Source organism: Homo sapiens, chromosome 12, assembly GCF_000001405.40.
Source record: "Homo sapiens chromosome 12, GRCh38.p14 Primary Assembly".
Taxonomy (NCBI): Eukaryota; Metazoa; Chordata; class Mammalia; order Primates; family Hominidae; genus Homo; species Homo sapiens.
Genome location: NC_000012.12, coordinates 115,873,181 through 115,887,885, shown reverse-complemented (window position 1 = coordinate 115,887,885; position 14,705 = coordinate 115,873,181). Strand labels below are relative to the sequence as shown.

At 41.7% G+C, this 14,705-nt stretch overlaps 1 long non-coding RNA gene across 1 annotated transcript in view; it reads left to right on the top strand.

Annotated features, from left to right (window-relative positions):
• Positions 1-1,615: 1,615 nt before the first annotated feature.
• The window catches only part of LINC02463 (long intergenic non-protein coding RNA 2463), an 80,288-nt gene continuing 67,198 nt past the window's right edge, over positions 1,616-14,705 (top strand). Inside the window, exon 1 of the long non-coding RNA XR_001749337.2 lies at positions 1,616-1,903. This is a non-coding gene — a long non-coding RNA (long intergenic non-protein coding RNA 2463). The remainder of the gene's footprint in view (positions 1,904-14,705) is intronic.

Sequence of the window (14,705 nt, the reverse complement as noted above, 5' to 3'; positions counted from 1 at the left end):
TTTTTTTTTTTTTAGTCTCACTGTGTCACCCAGGCTGGAGTGCAATGGGGCAATCTCGGCTCACTGCAACTCTGCCTCCCGGGCCCAAGCATTTCTCCCGCCTTAGCCTCCCGAGTAGCTGGGATTAGAGGCACACACCACCATGCCCAGCTAATTTTTTTGGATTTTTAGTAGAGACAGGGTTTTGCTGTGTTGGCCAGGCTGGTATCAAACTCCTGACATCAGGTGATCCACCCACCTCAGCCTCCAAAAATGCTGGGATTACAGGCGTGAGCCACCACGCCCGGCCAGAACCTAGTCCCCTTTAGATGGGACCTGAGCTTTTCAGTAGCCACGGGGACACCCACCCCTTTCTCTCAGAATCTTTGCATATAGGGCCTGGGGAGTCTGCATTTTAATAAGCTCCCCTTGATGCTCACAGGTGCAGCAAACCACTATGGCACACGTTTACCTATGTAACAAACCTGCACATCCTGCACATGTACCCCAGAACCTAAGATAAATTTAAAATAAAAAGCTCCCTCATGACCCTGGCCCTCTCTACAGTTGAGAACCACTGTCCCACCCCTCACATGCTTGTTAGTTTCCTCAGTGTCATCCGGCTATAAGCCTTGGGTCCCATCCTAGATACAGCTTCAGGGTCTAGCAGATACACGCTGAAATTCTCACGCCATCACTTGCTAGTGAGGTGACCTTGGTTAGTTTTTCCTGCCTCGGGACTCCCTGTCTCTTTGAAATGGGGACATGGATGTGCCGGCTGTTCTCTCTGTGCCCCTCCCTGCCCCCCATAACAACTCTCCACCCTTCTCACCTAACTCTGTGCTTTGGGGAGCTGACCTGCACAGACTTGATCACCAGGTTCCCTCAGCCTCTGGCTTGCTTTTGGGATTGGCCGACGGACTCACTGGTGAGATTAGAGGGCAGAAGAGAAGCCTGGAATAGCCTATTTCCATAGCTCCTTCCTGCTGGATGTGGTTTTAGGTCACGCTCTCTTCCTCGCTGACCTCAGCTCCTGTTGGGGTGGCTCCTCTCCCATGGTCCAAGAACAATATTTTCTTTGGCCAAGAGTGGTAACAGCTCCCCACTTTTACTGGCCCTCAGGAATTTCAATATCTCTTGGTGGTTCCTTTAGCCCTGTCCACACCTGTGTTTATTAAACTCTCCTTAATTAAACCCTTTGAGTGTGCCAACTGTCTCCTGCTGGGACCCTGAATTATACAACAATATCCTAGAGGCTTCAGAGAGGTCATATACATGGCCTGGCACTTAGTGAATGTTCGATACACTTGTAGCTATTGCCCTCATTATTACTACTAATATTCTTGTCATTACTGTTATCCCAACGTAACTAGAATCATAGGCTCTTGTAGTCGGAAAGAACCAAGGAAATCATTTCCTGTCTGATGTTAGAAGAATAGCACCTGGCCTGTGTTGGTTGAGTGAATAGATGAATTTCTTCAGTTGGGGATGTCTCTCCTTTCATGCCTCCTGTTACATGGCACTCCTTAACGGACAAGGTAGCTTCCTGTGTTACGGGATGGCTTTGTTAATTCTACCAGGAAGCTCAGCAAACATAGGGCAGGTTATTGAGTGCTTTGCTGTCCTTGGCACCCAAGGCAAGAGACACAGGATTATGACCTGTGAATCAAAGACAAACGCTCACCAAAATAATCAACCCTCCCAGGAGCCTTGTACAGCCCAGGAGGAAGATGCGGATCCTTAACTCAGTCTGCAACCAGAATCTTGACAGTCCTGAAAATGGAAAAGCGTCTGGAGTTTTGGGTACTCCCAATGCCCCAATTATCCTTTTATTACCCTGATTTACAACATAACTTCATAGGAGACGTTCTGATGAGCAAAATGACTTGGGTAACAAAATGATCTGGCAAAACCAGCAACTAAGGTAAGGAAGACTGGATAAAGACAGATGTGTTGTTATTTCTCAAGGGACTATAAGATAATTTAAGAGGTTCTATACTGTCCTTAAAGATGTTTACTTTTTCACTCTTCATGAGATCTCTGCTACAGATGCTGAGCCTAGAGGGGAAGATAAATAAATAGATGCAGGCATAAGATAGACAACATTGTCGGCTCCTCTGCCAGCTCCCGTGGCCCCAGGTGCAAGAGTACAGCAGATCATCTTGCCTTTGGACCGCAATCAATGGACCAGGCAGGAAATGAGAGGAAATTAATTTACCCCCCTCTTCTTTTTCCCTTCCCTGCCATCCCTCCTGTTTTTGCACAAGGGCCTTTTAAAATGTTGGTTACTCTGATTACAGCGCAATACAGTTCGCAAGAGCCTCTTCTTGACTAAACTCTCTCTGCCCTTAACCAGAATGATTGGCCGGTTGCCTTGGTAATTGTCCTCATTCGCCGTGTAGAAGCCACAATTATGAAGGTTTTCTGGGTACTGATCCTCTTAGTGCCTTTTTCTTAGAAGTTCACGACAAGATGGGACAAAGGAGACCTAATAGATTTATTGCTCTGGCCCCTTGGAGTACTCAGGAGCTCATGACATACAGACATGAGCCGTGAGTGCCATTCAAATTGGTTGGCTTTGCCCGGAGAGAAAGCTTTATGCTCAAGAGAGTGGCTGAAGTCCTATTAGTTAGAGGGCCAGGGACAGAGAATAAACCTGCAGGCCCGGTTTTTCTACCTTGGCTCATAATGGAAACCCTAGATGGGCCAGGCCAGGTGGCATCTGGGGCCGAGAGCCAGGGCACTTTATCTTTCACTGATAATTGAAGGAAATGGACATGTAACTGCTCTCTCGAAACTCCAGCATGATTCAAGTTCAAGGCAGGAGAGCTCCGTGGGTTGTTGAAAAACCCAAGCTGGAAATGTTCTGGGCAGAGATGGCTCTTCAACCTCTAAAGAGAAGCAGGACTCCATTAGCTGCGGGTAATTGCAAAGAAGAAAAAAGGGAAAGATGATGATTATGATGATGTTGATAATCATTATCACAATAATCATAGAATTTATCTGTAAAGGGTACAAGATGCTCACATTCATGAACTTTGCTGGTTCTCACAAAAGCCTGGGGGTTGTTAGCCCTTTTTCACAGATGAGAAAATTGAGGTGCAGGAATGTAGGACAACGTGTTCAGGTTGGAAGGTGGCAGAGCTGGTATTCAAACACACACACACACACACACACACACACCCCTTCCTACCTCATAGCACCTTCTTTCTCTAAAATAAAATCAATATTAAGTTTTGGTAGGGATAAATTATCAAAGAGATCTTTGAGCTGTAGTTTGAAGACTATCTACTTAGTTGTTCCAAGAGCTGAAATGCCTTCATTAGAAGGGCTTTGAATCTTAATGTGTCTCCAACTGGAACAGAAAAATCTCTGGTAGGGGTCACATCCGGCTGTTTCATCCAGAAGAACAACTTTGTTTGGTAGGTAGTAGCTGCGTTGAGAAGGGTTCTGAGGCTGTGTTTGGATTTACTGAGAAAGGATGCCATATTCGTTAGTAACGTTTGCCATCAAGGAGCAATGGAAGTCATGTGTTGGTCTCCTCTGCAGGCTTCTCAGCCGATTCCCTACTTTAGTTCCCAAGATTGCTTTTCTGTTATTATCTTTAGCTATTATTTTTGATTTTTCAACTATTATTTGAAAACCCAGAACTGTAATACAAGGTGGCTCTCACATTCATGTCACAATTTGCAAGTCTTTTTATATATAATTTTGTTGCATATGATATGGCTTTTTATATCTATGTTTTTCCATGTATTTCCTAAGAGTACAGATAGCCTCTAATGTAAGCACATCGTGGTTATCTACTGCAGATAACTTAACATTGATGCAATACTTTCATCTACCATTTATAGTTCAGCTTTGCAAATGGACCCAGCATTCCTCTAGGATCCAGTCCAGCATCAGGTATTGCATTTAGCTGTCATGTCTTTTTAGATTCCTTTATGACATGAGCAAATTTGACATTCCCACAATTTTGAGGTGTCCTGGCAGAGAGGCTTAAAATATCCATTTATTTATTTGATATTTTTTGGGGAGCCCAATACATGTACTGTGCTAGATGCTGGGCCTTATACCAAGATAAATTTGGCAATTCTTGCCCTAAGATAACATCAGAGCAATGAAAGCTAACATTCATTGAGTAATTGTTATGTGCCGACCACTGTAGAAAGCACTTTACACATATTATCTCATTTAATCCTACGGTCCTACAAAGTATGGGCAGTATGATCATTCTCACTGAGGTTGAGAGATGTTAAGTAGCTTGCCTAAGGTCACACAGGCTGTACAGAGAGACCAGATTTGGCCAGGCTGTAGAAATCACACTTTCAACCACTGTATTATTCTATCTTGGAGAAATATTAATAAATTCAACAGCATATTAGAGATTGGGTAAATAGCATATACATGATTCGTTCATTGATTCACTGATTTGTTCATTAATTAATGGATTTATTCATTTATTTGTTCCATTAACTGATTCACTGATTAATTCATTCAATTATGTATTAATTGATCCATCTGTCCATCCATATATCCATTTGTCCATCCATTCATTTATTCATGTCTTGTGGACAAGACACTATCTTGGGTGCTGGGATACAATGGCAAAATACAACAGATGTAGTCTCTGACTTCATGAAGCATACTGTTTCATGGGGGAAGACAGGCAATAAATAAAGTATAATTAGTGTTATGCAAGTAACAGTATAGGGAGTAGGAAAATCTAACCTCATCCAGAGGGTCAGGCAAGGCCCCCTTGACAAAGTGCCATTTAAAGGCTGTGTGGGAGTTAGATTAAGGAGGGGAGGGATTGCTTCTGTCTAGGAGAAAGCAAAGAGCTTCCTGGAGGAGGCTGCAGAGGAGCTGAGGTTTAAAGTGTGGATGAAGTGTTAAGATTCAGAGATGAGTGAAGGGTTTCCAAGGTGGAAGTAACAGCATAGAAAAGGTAGCAAACTTGTAGGAATGCATTATAGGAAGTCCCAACCATATAGTCATTTCTCCCAGGTGCATAGACTTTACTAGTGGTCATCCATATCGCAGGGACTGTTCATTGAGAGGCTGTGGTGGACTAATCTTTAGTGCCAGTAAAATACATTGAGCATCTAAATCTTTTGTTTTCATGAGTTGGCCTCTCAAATGGGTACCATTTTGGGTACAGAACCTATTCAGCTCTGTATTGACCCATGCACCTCTTGAGTTCAGGGATAATTAATTCTAAAATCTTATTGCACAAAAATATATTGAGTGTCTCCTAGGTGCCAGCAATTATTCTAGCTGCTCAGGTTACAGTAGTAAACAAAACAGAAAAAAAAAATCCATGCTCTCATGGGGCTTGTATTCTACAAAGTTATTTTGTAATTTTAATTGCAAATTTATTTGGAATTTACACATAAAGGGCATTTTAGGGGTTGAAGTTGCCTTTGGTTTGAGTACAGTTGTCCCGAAGAAGTGGTAAAATCTTCCCACTTGCCATGCAGGAGACCTAGAATAAATCCCTCCTCTAAGCCTTAGTTTCCTCACTTGTCAAAGGAGTGGGCTCACTTAGACCTTTAAGGCCTTCCCAACCTGAAATTCTTGGATTCTATGAGCCAGAGGAGCAGACACACACCAGGAACCGCAGGCGCCTGTGTCTGGGCGAACCTGGACGTTTACTGCTTTTGTTCCCTGTTTTCATGAGGGGCTCCGGGGGGCGCTTCCTTGACAGTTCACCCTTCCAAGGCTAATCAGAATTCTCTCTGTCTGCTTTGGTTTTCTGCACTTTGACTTGCATCATAAATTATTCTTTCTCTAAATGGCAGGCGTAGGTAAGTTACCAAAAGGTCATTCAGAACCCCGATCAATCCCAGCTGCTTTAATTACTTTAGTGCTGTTTGGACTTCTGTGTGTGTGTTGCTGTATCAACCCAGAGAAGGAGCTCAAGAACTGTTTTCTGCAAAGGTGATTGAATTTCCTTTAAGGAAAGTTAATTGTGTTGGCTTCTGTGCGTGTTGGGAGAACACCCATCTGAATAGACCTAGTATAGATATTAGTAAAAGAAGATAATGTATTTGTGGAGGCATCACTGGTGTTTGGCAGCCTGATGCAAATTTTGGAGACTAAATAAAGGATGGAACCAATGCAGAACTAAGATTAAAACCATCTAAAAAGCATCTGCTTGTTAAAGTAGGACGGTTTTTTATCCCCCGTCACAGGGCTTTGTCTCAAAGTTCCCAAGGAGGTTCTAGACGTGGTATTTCATCTTTAGTAAGAATTCAGAGGCAAAACTACACTACGAAGATGAACACAATTCAGCTTCGGCTCAGTTTGTTTCTGTGTTTGATGTCTCTGGGCTGCCTTGTGGGTGCAGAGAAAAACATTTCTACAGCTAATGTCTTGGACGAAAGGCTCAAGTCTTAAGAGGCTTTGGGAAAGGCTGGCCTTATGGTACTTGTTTTGTTGTTGTTATTTTTATTTTTTATTTTTGCTGGTGAAGAAGGGATTCTCTCCCTTACTCTGTTGGTTCAATCCCTTCCGTATGATGAATTGTATAATATAATAATAAAATAACAATTTATAATCACAGTATAGCAAACATAATTCAAGCTAACTTTTCAGCACATTTACATGCATTTTTCTAAGTACTTTGCATTTCTCGTCTCATTTAGTTCTCACAAATATTATTATCCCTACATTAGATATGAGAAAGAAATTGAGGGACAGGAAGGTTACATCATATGCCCAAGGTCACCCAGCTTGCAAGGGGTGGAGCCATTTGTCTTATTCTATTAAGGCTGTTATAACAAAATACTATAAACTGAGTGGCTTATAAACAGCAAACATTTATTTCTCACAGTTCTAGAGGCTGGGAAGTCCAAGATCAAGGCACCAATAGATTTGGTGCCTGCTCCCTTGTTCATGGCTGCCACCTCTTGTTGTCTTCTCATGGTAGAAGGGCCAAGGCAGCTCTCTGGGGCCTCTTTTACAAAGGCACTAATCTCATTCGTGAGGGTTCCACCTTCATGACCTAATCATGTTCCAAAGTCCTCACCTCCTAATACCATCACTTTAGGGGTTAATATTTCAACACATGAATTTTGGGGGGATAAAAACATTCAGACCATGGCATCATGGTTGAAATCTCCGCAGTCTGGATCAGACATGAGTAATTGCTGACTTTTATCATGGTTTGCTGAGTTCCAGAAATGGTGCTGAGCTCTTTAACAGTCCTTACAGCAGCACTGTGAAGCTGGTGCCATTATTTTTCTGAATTTGCATGTAAGGAGACTGAGGCTCAGAGAAGTGAGGTGACTTAGGAAAGGACACACAGCTGGGATTTCGCCACCCTTCCATCTGAATCCAGATCAGGGATTGGCAAACCTATGGCCCAGGGGCCAAACCTGGCCTATTGTCTGTTTTTTGTAAATGAAGTTTTATTGGAACGCAACCATGCCCATGACTGCGTTTTGCCACAGTGACACAGTTGAATGGTTGCCACAGAGATTGCTGGCCTGAAGTGACTAAGATATTTACTATTTGCTTCTTTACAGAAAAGATTGCCAACCCCTGCCCCAGACCTAGTGGTTTCAGCTACTTCCATCTCCTGCTGTCTGATGCACCTTGATTTCTAGGTCTGATGGGTTTCAATGTGCTCCTTCAATATTGGGGCACAGCCTCATCCTACCCAGCAGTGAAAAGGGGCTCTCCTATGAATCCCTGCCCCTTCCGGGTGGATGCAGCGATTCCGAGGGCTCTAACTGATCACAGGGTGTACATATTCGAAAGTGTGAAATGAGCCTCATGTGGTGGCTCACACTTGTAGTCACAGCTACTCAAGAGGCCAAAGCAGGAGGATCCCTTGAGATCAGGAATTTGAGACCAGCCTGGACAACATAGCGAGACCCCATCCATAAAAAAATGAATACATAAAAATTAGCCAACATGGTGGTGCACACCTGTAGTCCCAGCTACTCAAGAGGCTGAGGCCAGAGGATTGCTTGAGCCCAGAAGTTTGAGGTTACAGTGAGCTATGATCATGCCACTGCATGCCAGCCCAGGTGACAGAGGAAGATCCTATGTCTTAGGAAAGAAAAAAGAAAAAAAAAGTGTGAGATAAATATGGCTTACTTATAATACTAGAAGAGCAGGAACCCTTGGAATTGCCCTGAAAACAGATGCTTGTAAAATATCAGGGTCCTAGGCCCCATCCTGGGATCTGCTGAATCAGAATTTCTGGGGGTGGGTCCTGGGAACCTGCATTTTTACAAGCTTCCTGGGCAGTACTGGTGGCCCCTAGCATCTGTGATGCAGCCGTCTTCAGCCCCCAGGCAGGCCCAGGCCCCGGCCCCATGAATCACAAATGGAGTCAGCCTCTTCTGACGGATGGTGGGGCTGAGCCCTGGTTAACCCACTAACGGTCATCTCTCCAGTTCCCAGAGCCTCAGCTCTGATCTCTCTGCTGCTTCTGCCTTGTATTCCAGCCTCACCTTTTATTCCATAGCCATTCCCAGCTCTCTAAATTCCTTGCCTCCCAGACGTGCCCTCCCATAAACACCCAAAAGGAATTCTGCACAAAGAAGGGCCAGAGGGTTTTTTTGTTTCCACCATAACACTAGTGATAGATAATTTATTTTTAGGATTTATGGTCTGTCAGGATCAGGGCTAACTTAGTTACAGGCTGTTTTCTCACTTACCGTCCACCAATGTCCCTGTATCCCGACAAAGTATCTTCTATCAGCTCCATTTTACAGGTGGGGAAAGTGAGGCTCTGAGCAGAGAGTGCCTTGCCCCAGGACACACAGCTGTGCAGGACAGAACTGGACTTAACTTAGTGATTCTTGTGGCTTTGCTTTCAACCGGTGCCCTGTGTTACCTTCAAGGTGAAAGAAGAGCTACTGGGCAGGTCCATCTTTGACATTGGTGAGACTCCAGGCAAGAGAATACAGGGCAGTCCACACACTAACTGTCTAAAATTTAAATGTTATAATGCAAACTAACAAACTGTTGAATAAAATATGTCCTGAGCTCCAATGTGTACATAAACATCTGAAAACAACAAAATACAATTTTTCTGTGTAATAATATGGTTTCTATATAACTGAAGTTTAGCAAAATATCAAAGATGACTGAATGTAATTATTGTATGAGACTTGGTGTTCAGTTTACAGGCCAATGATGTTTGCATAAGCAGTAAACTCAAGGCATATGTATTTCACAAACTGCTGTATATTCATAATGCAATACCTATTTTCTTGTTCTCATGACAGCACAATGGCTAACTATATGGTTATAATCAGTATTTTCAGATAATTTGTGATCTATCAATGATGATGTCAAACTGGGAAAATCTGTCTTCAGGGATGGTACTTCTTAGGTAGTTTCTTTCTGAAATTAATTTTTATTTGTTTTTCTATTTTTATTTGCTTTATTAGATGTATAATTCATAAACTTATTAGATGTATAAATTATATATTCCATAAAAAGCACACATTCTAAATGTAACATTTTAGTGCATTGTGACAAATGTGTATACTCATGTACTTGCTACCTCAACTAAGATATTCATAGTTTAAAACAATTTCAATTTGGAGAAACTTCGTTCTGTTTGAGGCAGTAGTTACTGGGATTGTCAATGAACTTTTAAAAGTAATTCTCATATTTGGTAATAAACCATGGATTTAAAATTTCATGTTTAAACTTTATAATGGAGTCACATTTGATACATTATTAACATTGCCAAACATGCTGTGTAATTATTTTACTGTCTCTCCCTAACCCCTCCTCCAATAGAATGTGAGCTCCAGGATGAAGGCTTTCTCTGTTCTGTTTACAACAGTATGCTCAATCTCCAGAGTGGTGCTGGCACTAAGTAAATATTCATTAAATATTTGCTGAATGAATAAATGTAACTTGGTCTCAAAAGTGTTAAGTTTTATGTGATTCTGCCTAATCTCAAATAGGACACTTTCATTTTATGAAAGTATCTGTAAGCAAAGTTTAATCTGCCTTTAGATGAGATGACACACATCAAGTTAGATCATGAAGCTTATGTGTATCTCAGAAGGCAGGTATACGCCTATATTCAGTCTTGTTCAAAGACAAGGACATTGGATTTGCAGATGCCTTTCAGCAGGTGGCCAACCTATACTGCCATGTTGGTGGGGGCCTTAATGCCACAGATCTTTTGGGTTGAAAAGCAGGTGCATCCTTTTTGATGTGCCAATAGTAGAGGACTGTGCTGAAGGAGTGAGAAATGTCAGCCAGTGTGGTAGACAGGCTATATAAGATGGCCCCATTGGCCCCCAACCCCACTCTTCACACTTTTGTGAAATCCTCTGCTATTGAGTGTGGGCAGGACCTGCGACTTGCTTCTAGGCAGTGGAATATGGAAAAGGAGATGGAATGTTACCTCCATGATTACATCATATAAGCTTGGAACTGCTGTCTTGCTAGCAAACTCTCTCCTTTGCTGGCTTTAGTAAAGCTAGTTGCCATGTTGGGGATGCCCATGTGACAAGAAACTGAGGGTGGCTTCTGGCTACCAGCCAGCTTGAACTGAGTCTCACAGTCTAATATCCCAAAGGAAATTAATCCTGCCAACAACATAAGTGAGCTTGGAAGTGCAATCTTCTCCACTGAGCTTTCAGATGAGACCTTAACCCTGGCCAGTGTCTTGATTTCAGGTTTATGAGAGATCTAAGAAAGGGAACCCAGGCAAATGATGCCTGATTCCTAATGCTGAAACTGTGAGATAATACATGTGTGTTGTTTTAAGGTTCTAAGTTCATGGTGATTTTTTAATGTAGTGATAGATAACTAATACAGCCTAGGAGAAGGAAAGTCTCATAGTAAGATTTGATTTATATTGACTTCCGCCATACACTTTCCTGACACTACTTTATGAGTCCCTATAACAACTCTAAGTTGATTCTATCTACATTTTACAAATGAATAAACTAAGACTCATAATTTAAGGATCACATAGTCGGAAGGTGGCAGAACTGGGATTTGAACCAAGACACGTATAACTCAAAAATTCTACCATATTCAAATCTCCCCTAACATATATTTCACCCAGTTCCAGAAAGGCAGAGACCAATGTCTTTCCTTAGAGACTCATATTACTGAGAATAGTATGGTGCCATTTAAATTCTGATTTTTACTGTGATAATTACTTGTTTTTTAAGTTTCTTTCTTTTTTTTTTTTGCTATTACAACTCATTTATAAATATATTCTATTTTTTTAATTGACAAAAAATATTTATGGTATATAATATGCTTTGAAATATGTATACATTGTGAAATGGCTAAATCAAGCTAATTAATGTATGCATTACCTCACATACTTACCATTTTTTTTTTTGTGCTGAGAATGCTTAAAATCTTAAAATCTACTTTTACCAATTTTTAAGTATACAATACATTGTTAATAACTACAGTAGATATAAAATATAAAATTCTTTTTTAATTATACTTTAAATTCTGGGATACATGTGCAGAACGTGCAGGTTTGTTACATAGGTATACGTGTGCCATGGTGGTTTGCTGCACCCATCAACCCGTCATCTACATTAGGTATTTCTCCTAATGCTATCCCTCCGCTTGCCCCCCATCCCCCCAACAGGCCCTGGTGTGTGATGTTCCCCTCCCTGTGTCCATGTGTTCCCATTGTTCAACTCCCACTTATGAGTGAGAACATGCAATGTTTGGTTTTCTGTTCCTGTGTTAGTTTGCTGAGAATGATGGTTTCCAGCTTCAACACCATGGAATACTATGCAGCCATAAAATATGAAATTTTTAAAAGATATTTTTTTCCCTCAGTTTTATGGTACCCTTGCTTTGTTGATACTTTAAGCACTATGTTTTTAAACACTTGTATTTGCCAGTGCCTATCACAATGCCTAGCACGTAGCTAGCAATTAACACATGCTTGTTGAGTGAGTTGTTGAGGAATTGTGTCTTCAGGACAGATTCAGGTTGCTGCTACCTATACAAGACTACTATATTATACACAATAGACCCAGAATTGGTTTATAGTGAGAGGTGAGTCTATTTTGGTACCAAGTCCAAACTTAGCCTTGAGGAATCCCTTCATGGCATGTAGGATTCTTCAAATCAGTGAGTCCAAAGATGGCCTGGAATTTGTGTGTGAGCTCTGGAGGGGCAGACCCTGTTCTTTAAAACTGGGTGCTTCCTGAAGTCTGTGGTTCTCAATCCGGTTTTATTAATTTGAATTGCACTAGGAGGCAGGAGACCCTGACTCTGGGGCTATGGGCCAATGGAAGCTTTGGCTAGGCTCAGTGCACATTCTCACCTGGAGGGCTCCTATCCACTTCGTGGGATGGTAGTCAGGAATCTTTTTCTCAGCATTGTGGTTAGTTGGCCTGAGTTTGAATCTTGGTTCCTCCCTTACCAGTTGGATGATTTGAGCAACTTATGTGGCCCTCTATAAGGACATCTCCCTCAGGGGGCATTGTGAGGATCAAGAGATAGGAAGTACATAGGAAGCACGTTATCAATGGCAACTTGTGTAATTGGCCATTGTATACAAATTATAACTTGTATAACTACTCTTGTTTCTTGCATTTCTCTCTGTCCCCAATTTCTTTTCTGTCCTTATTCATCTGCCCCTCACTCCTGGATGTCTCAAAAGTACTTCAAGCTCACCATATATAAACTTAAACTAATTGCTCTAACTCCCTCCTGTGTCCCTAAACATGCCCCCCTTAAAATAAAAGTTACCATCTTTATTAAGGATACGGGCATTTACATGGTCACCCAGAAACCTCAGAGTTGTCCACACCCTTCCCTTGCCCCTACCTTCCACATCATAGTTGACATCCAGACATTCCAAATTCTGCAAGCTGAAATGTTCCTACCCCTTTTATAAAAATTTTTCTGTGGCGACTGCCCTAACGGAATAGTACCCAGCTCCTGGGTACTATGCTTCTAATTGTCCTCCTTGTCTTTTCCTAGTTCTCCATCTTCCTTTAGAGTCCAGAGTGATCTTCCTCAGATCAAGCTGTGTCAGATCACCCCTCTAACATCTCAACAGCTTCTCTCCTGCCCTGTAGAGTCTGATTTCCTTAGCCAGGCTACATAGTCCTTCAGACTTAGATCCAAATCAGACTTTTTATCCTCTCTTTTCTCTGTCTCCTCTCCTCTCTCCTTCTCTCTCTTTTGAAATTGTGGCATAATTTACACTTAATAAAATGCACAGATCCTAAAAGTTTGACTTTATGAGTTTTGACAAATTTACACCCCCATGTAACCATGACTGTAATCAAGATATGGAACATTTCCATGACCCCGAAGTATCATCACCTCCTTCTCCCTTCTGGTCAACCACTGCCCCACAGAGGAAACCACTGTTTTTGATTACTATCACCATCACTCCTCTCTCTCTCTTTCTTTTCTTTCTCTCTCTTTCTCTCTTTCTTTCTGGTGGAGTCTCACTCTGTTGCCCATGCTAGAGTGCAGTGGCATGATATCGGCTCACTGCAACCTCCGCCTCTCAGGTTCAAGCAATTCTCCTGCCTCAGTCTTCTGAGTAGCTGGGATTACAGGTGTGTACCACCATGCCCAGCTAATTTTTGTATTTTTAGTAGCAATGTTTCACCATATTGGCCAGGCTGGTCTTGAACTCCTGACCTCAGGTGATCTGCCTGCCTCAGCCTCCCAAGGTGCTGGGATTACAGGTGTGAGCCACCACGCCCATCTTTCCATCACGTAGTTGTGTTTTGTCTAGAATTTCATTTAAATGGAATCATACAGTATATATTATTTTGTGTCTGGTTTCTTTGACACAATATAATGTTTTTGAGATTCATCCGTATTGTGGCTTGTATTATTTTTTCTGTAGGGTAGTCTTCGATTCTATAGTTATATCACAAAACTTTAAAAAATCCATTTACTTATTGATAAACATTTGGGTTTTTTTCCATAGCCTCATCTGTTTCTGTTTCCTACTTAATACCCTAGCCAATTAGAATTTCTTTTTCTCTAGAGACACATCATGCTTCCTAGCTCTCTCCTCATGCGTTGCTGTTCCCTCTGTTGGAATGCTTTTCCCTTCTTCATTAAGCAAACACCACCTACTTATCCCTTGAAACTCAGCTCATGGAACATCTCTTGGTGGTCTTTGTCCAACTCACTGAAACTGTTATTTGCTTCCTCCCCCATTAAAGCATGTTTACACTGTATTAAATTACCTATGTATGTGTCTGTCTCTTTGATGAGCTGTTTAGCTCATGAAAGGAAGGCAGTCTCTCATTCACCTGGAACATTCTGCTTAGTGTTCTGGCTGAACACTTGAGTGACTGTTACTCTAAAGAGGAAGTACAGGTTAGGAGTTACGAGTTCAGATTTTGGAGTCAGGCTGTCTCTGTTTTAAAATCTAATCCTTGCCTTTTTCTAATTGTGTGATTTAGGCAATTGACTCAACTTCTTGGAGCTTTGGAACTTACCCATGAGGCTTTTGTGAAAATTGAACAACGTAATGTACATAAAATACCTAGGACAGAGCCTGACACATAGCACTGAGTAAAATGTGGACTACTACTATTGCTGCTGTTGTTATTTGAAAAAGCATTGTTCTGGAAACCAGGAAAAACCCCAGCAATCTAAGTCCATATTCGGGCAGGACACTTTCCATCTGTGGCGTGGTTTCTATGTCTATAGAACAGGGAGATTTTTTTTTCTAAGATGCTAGCCAACAAGTTTCTATTTGTGTTTTCTACCAGCTTTAA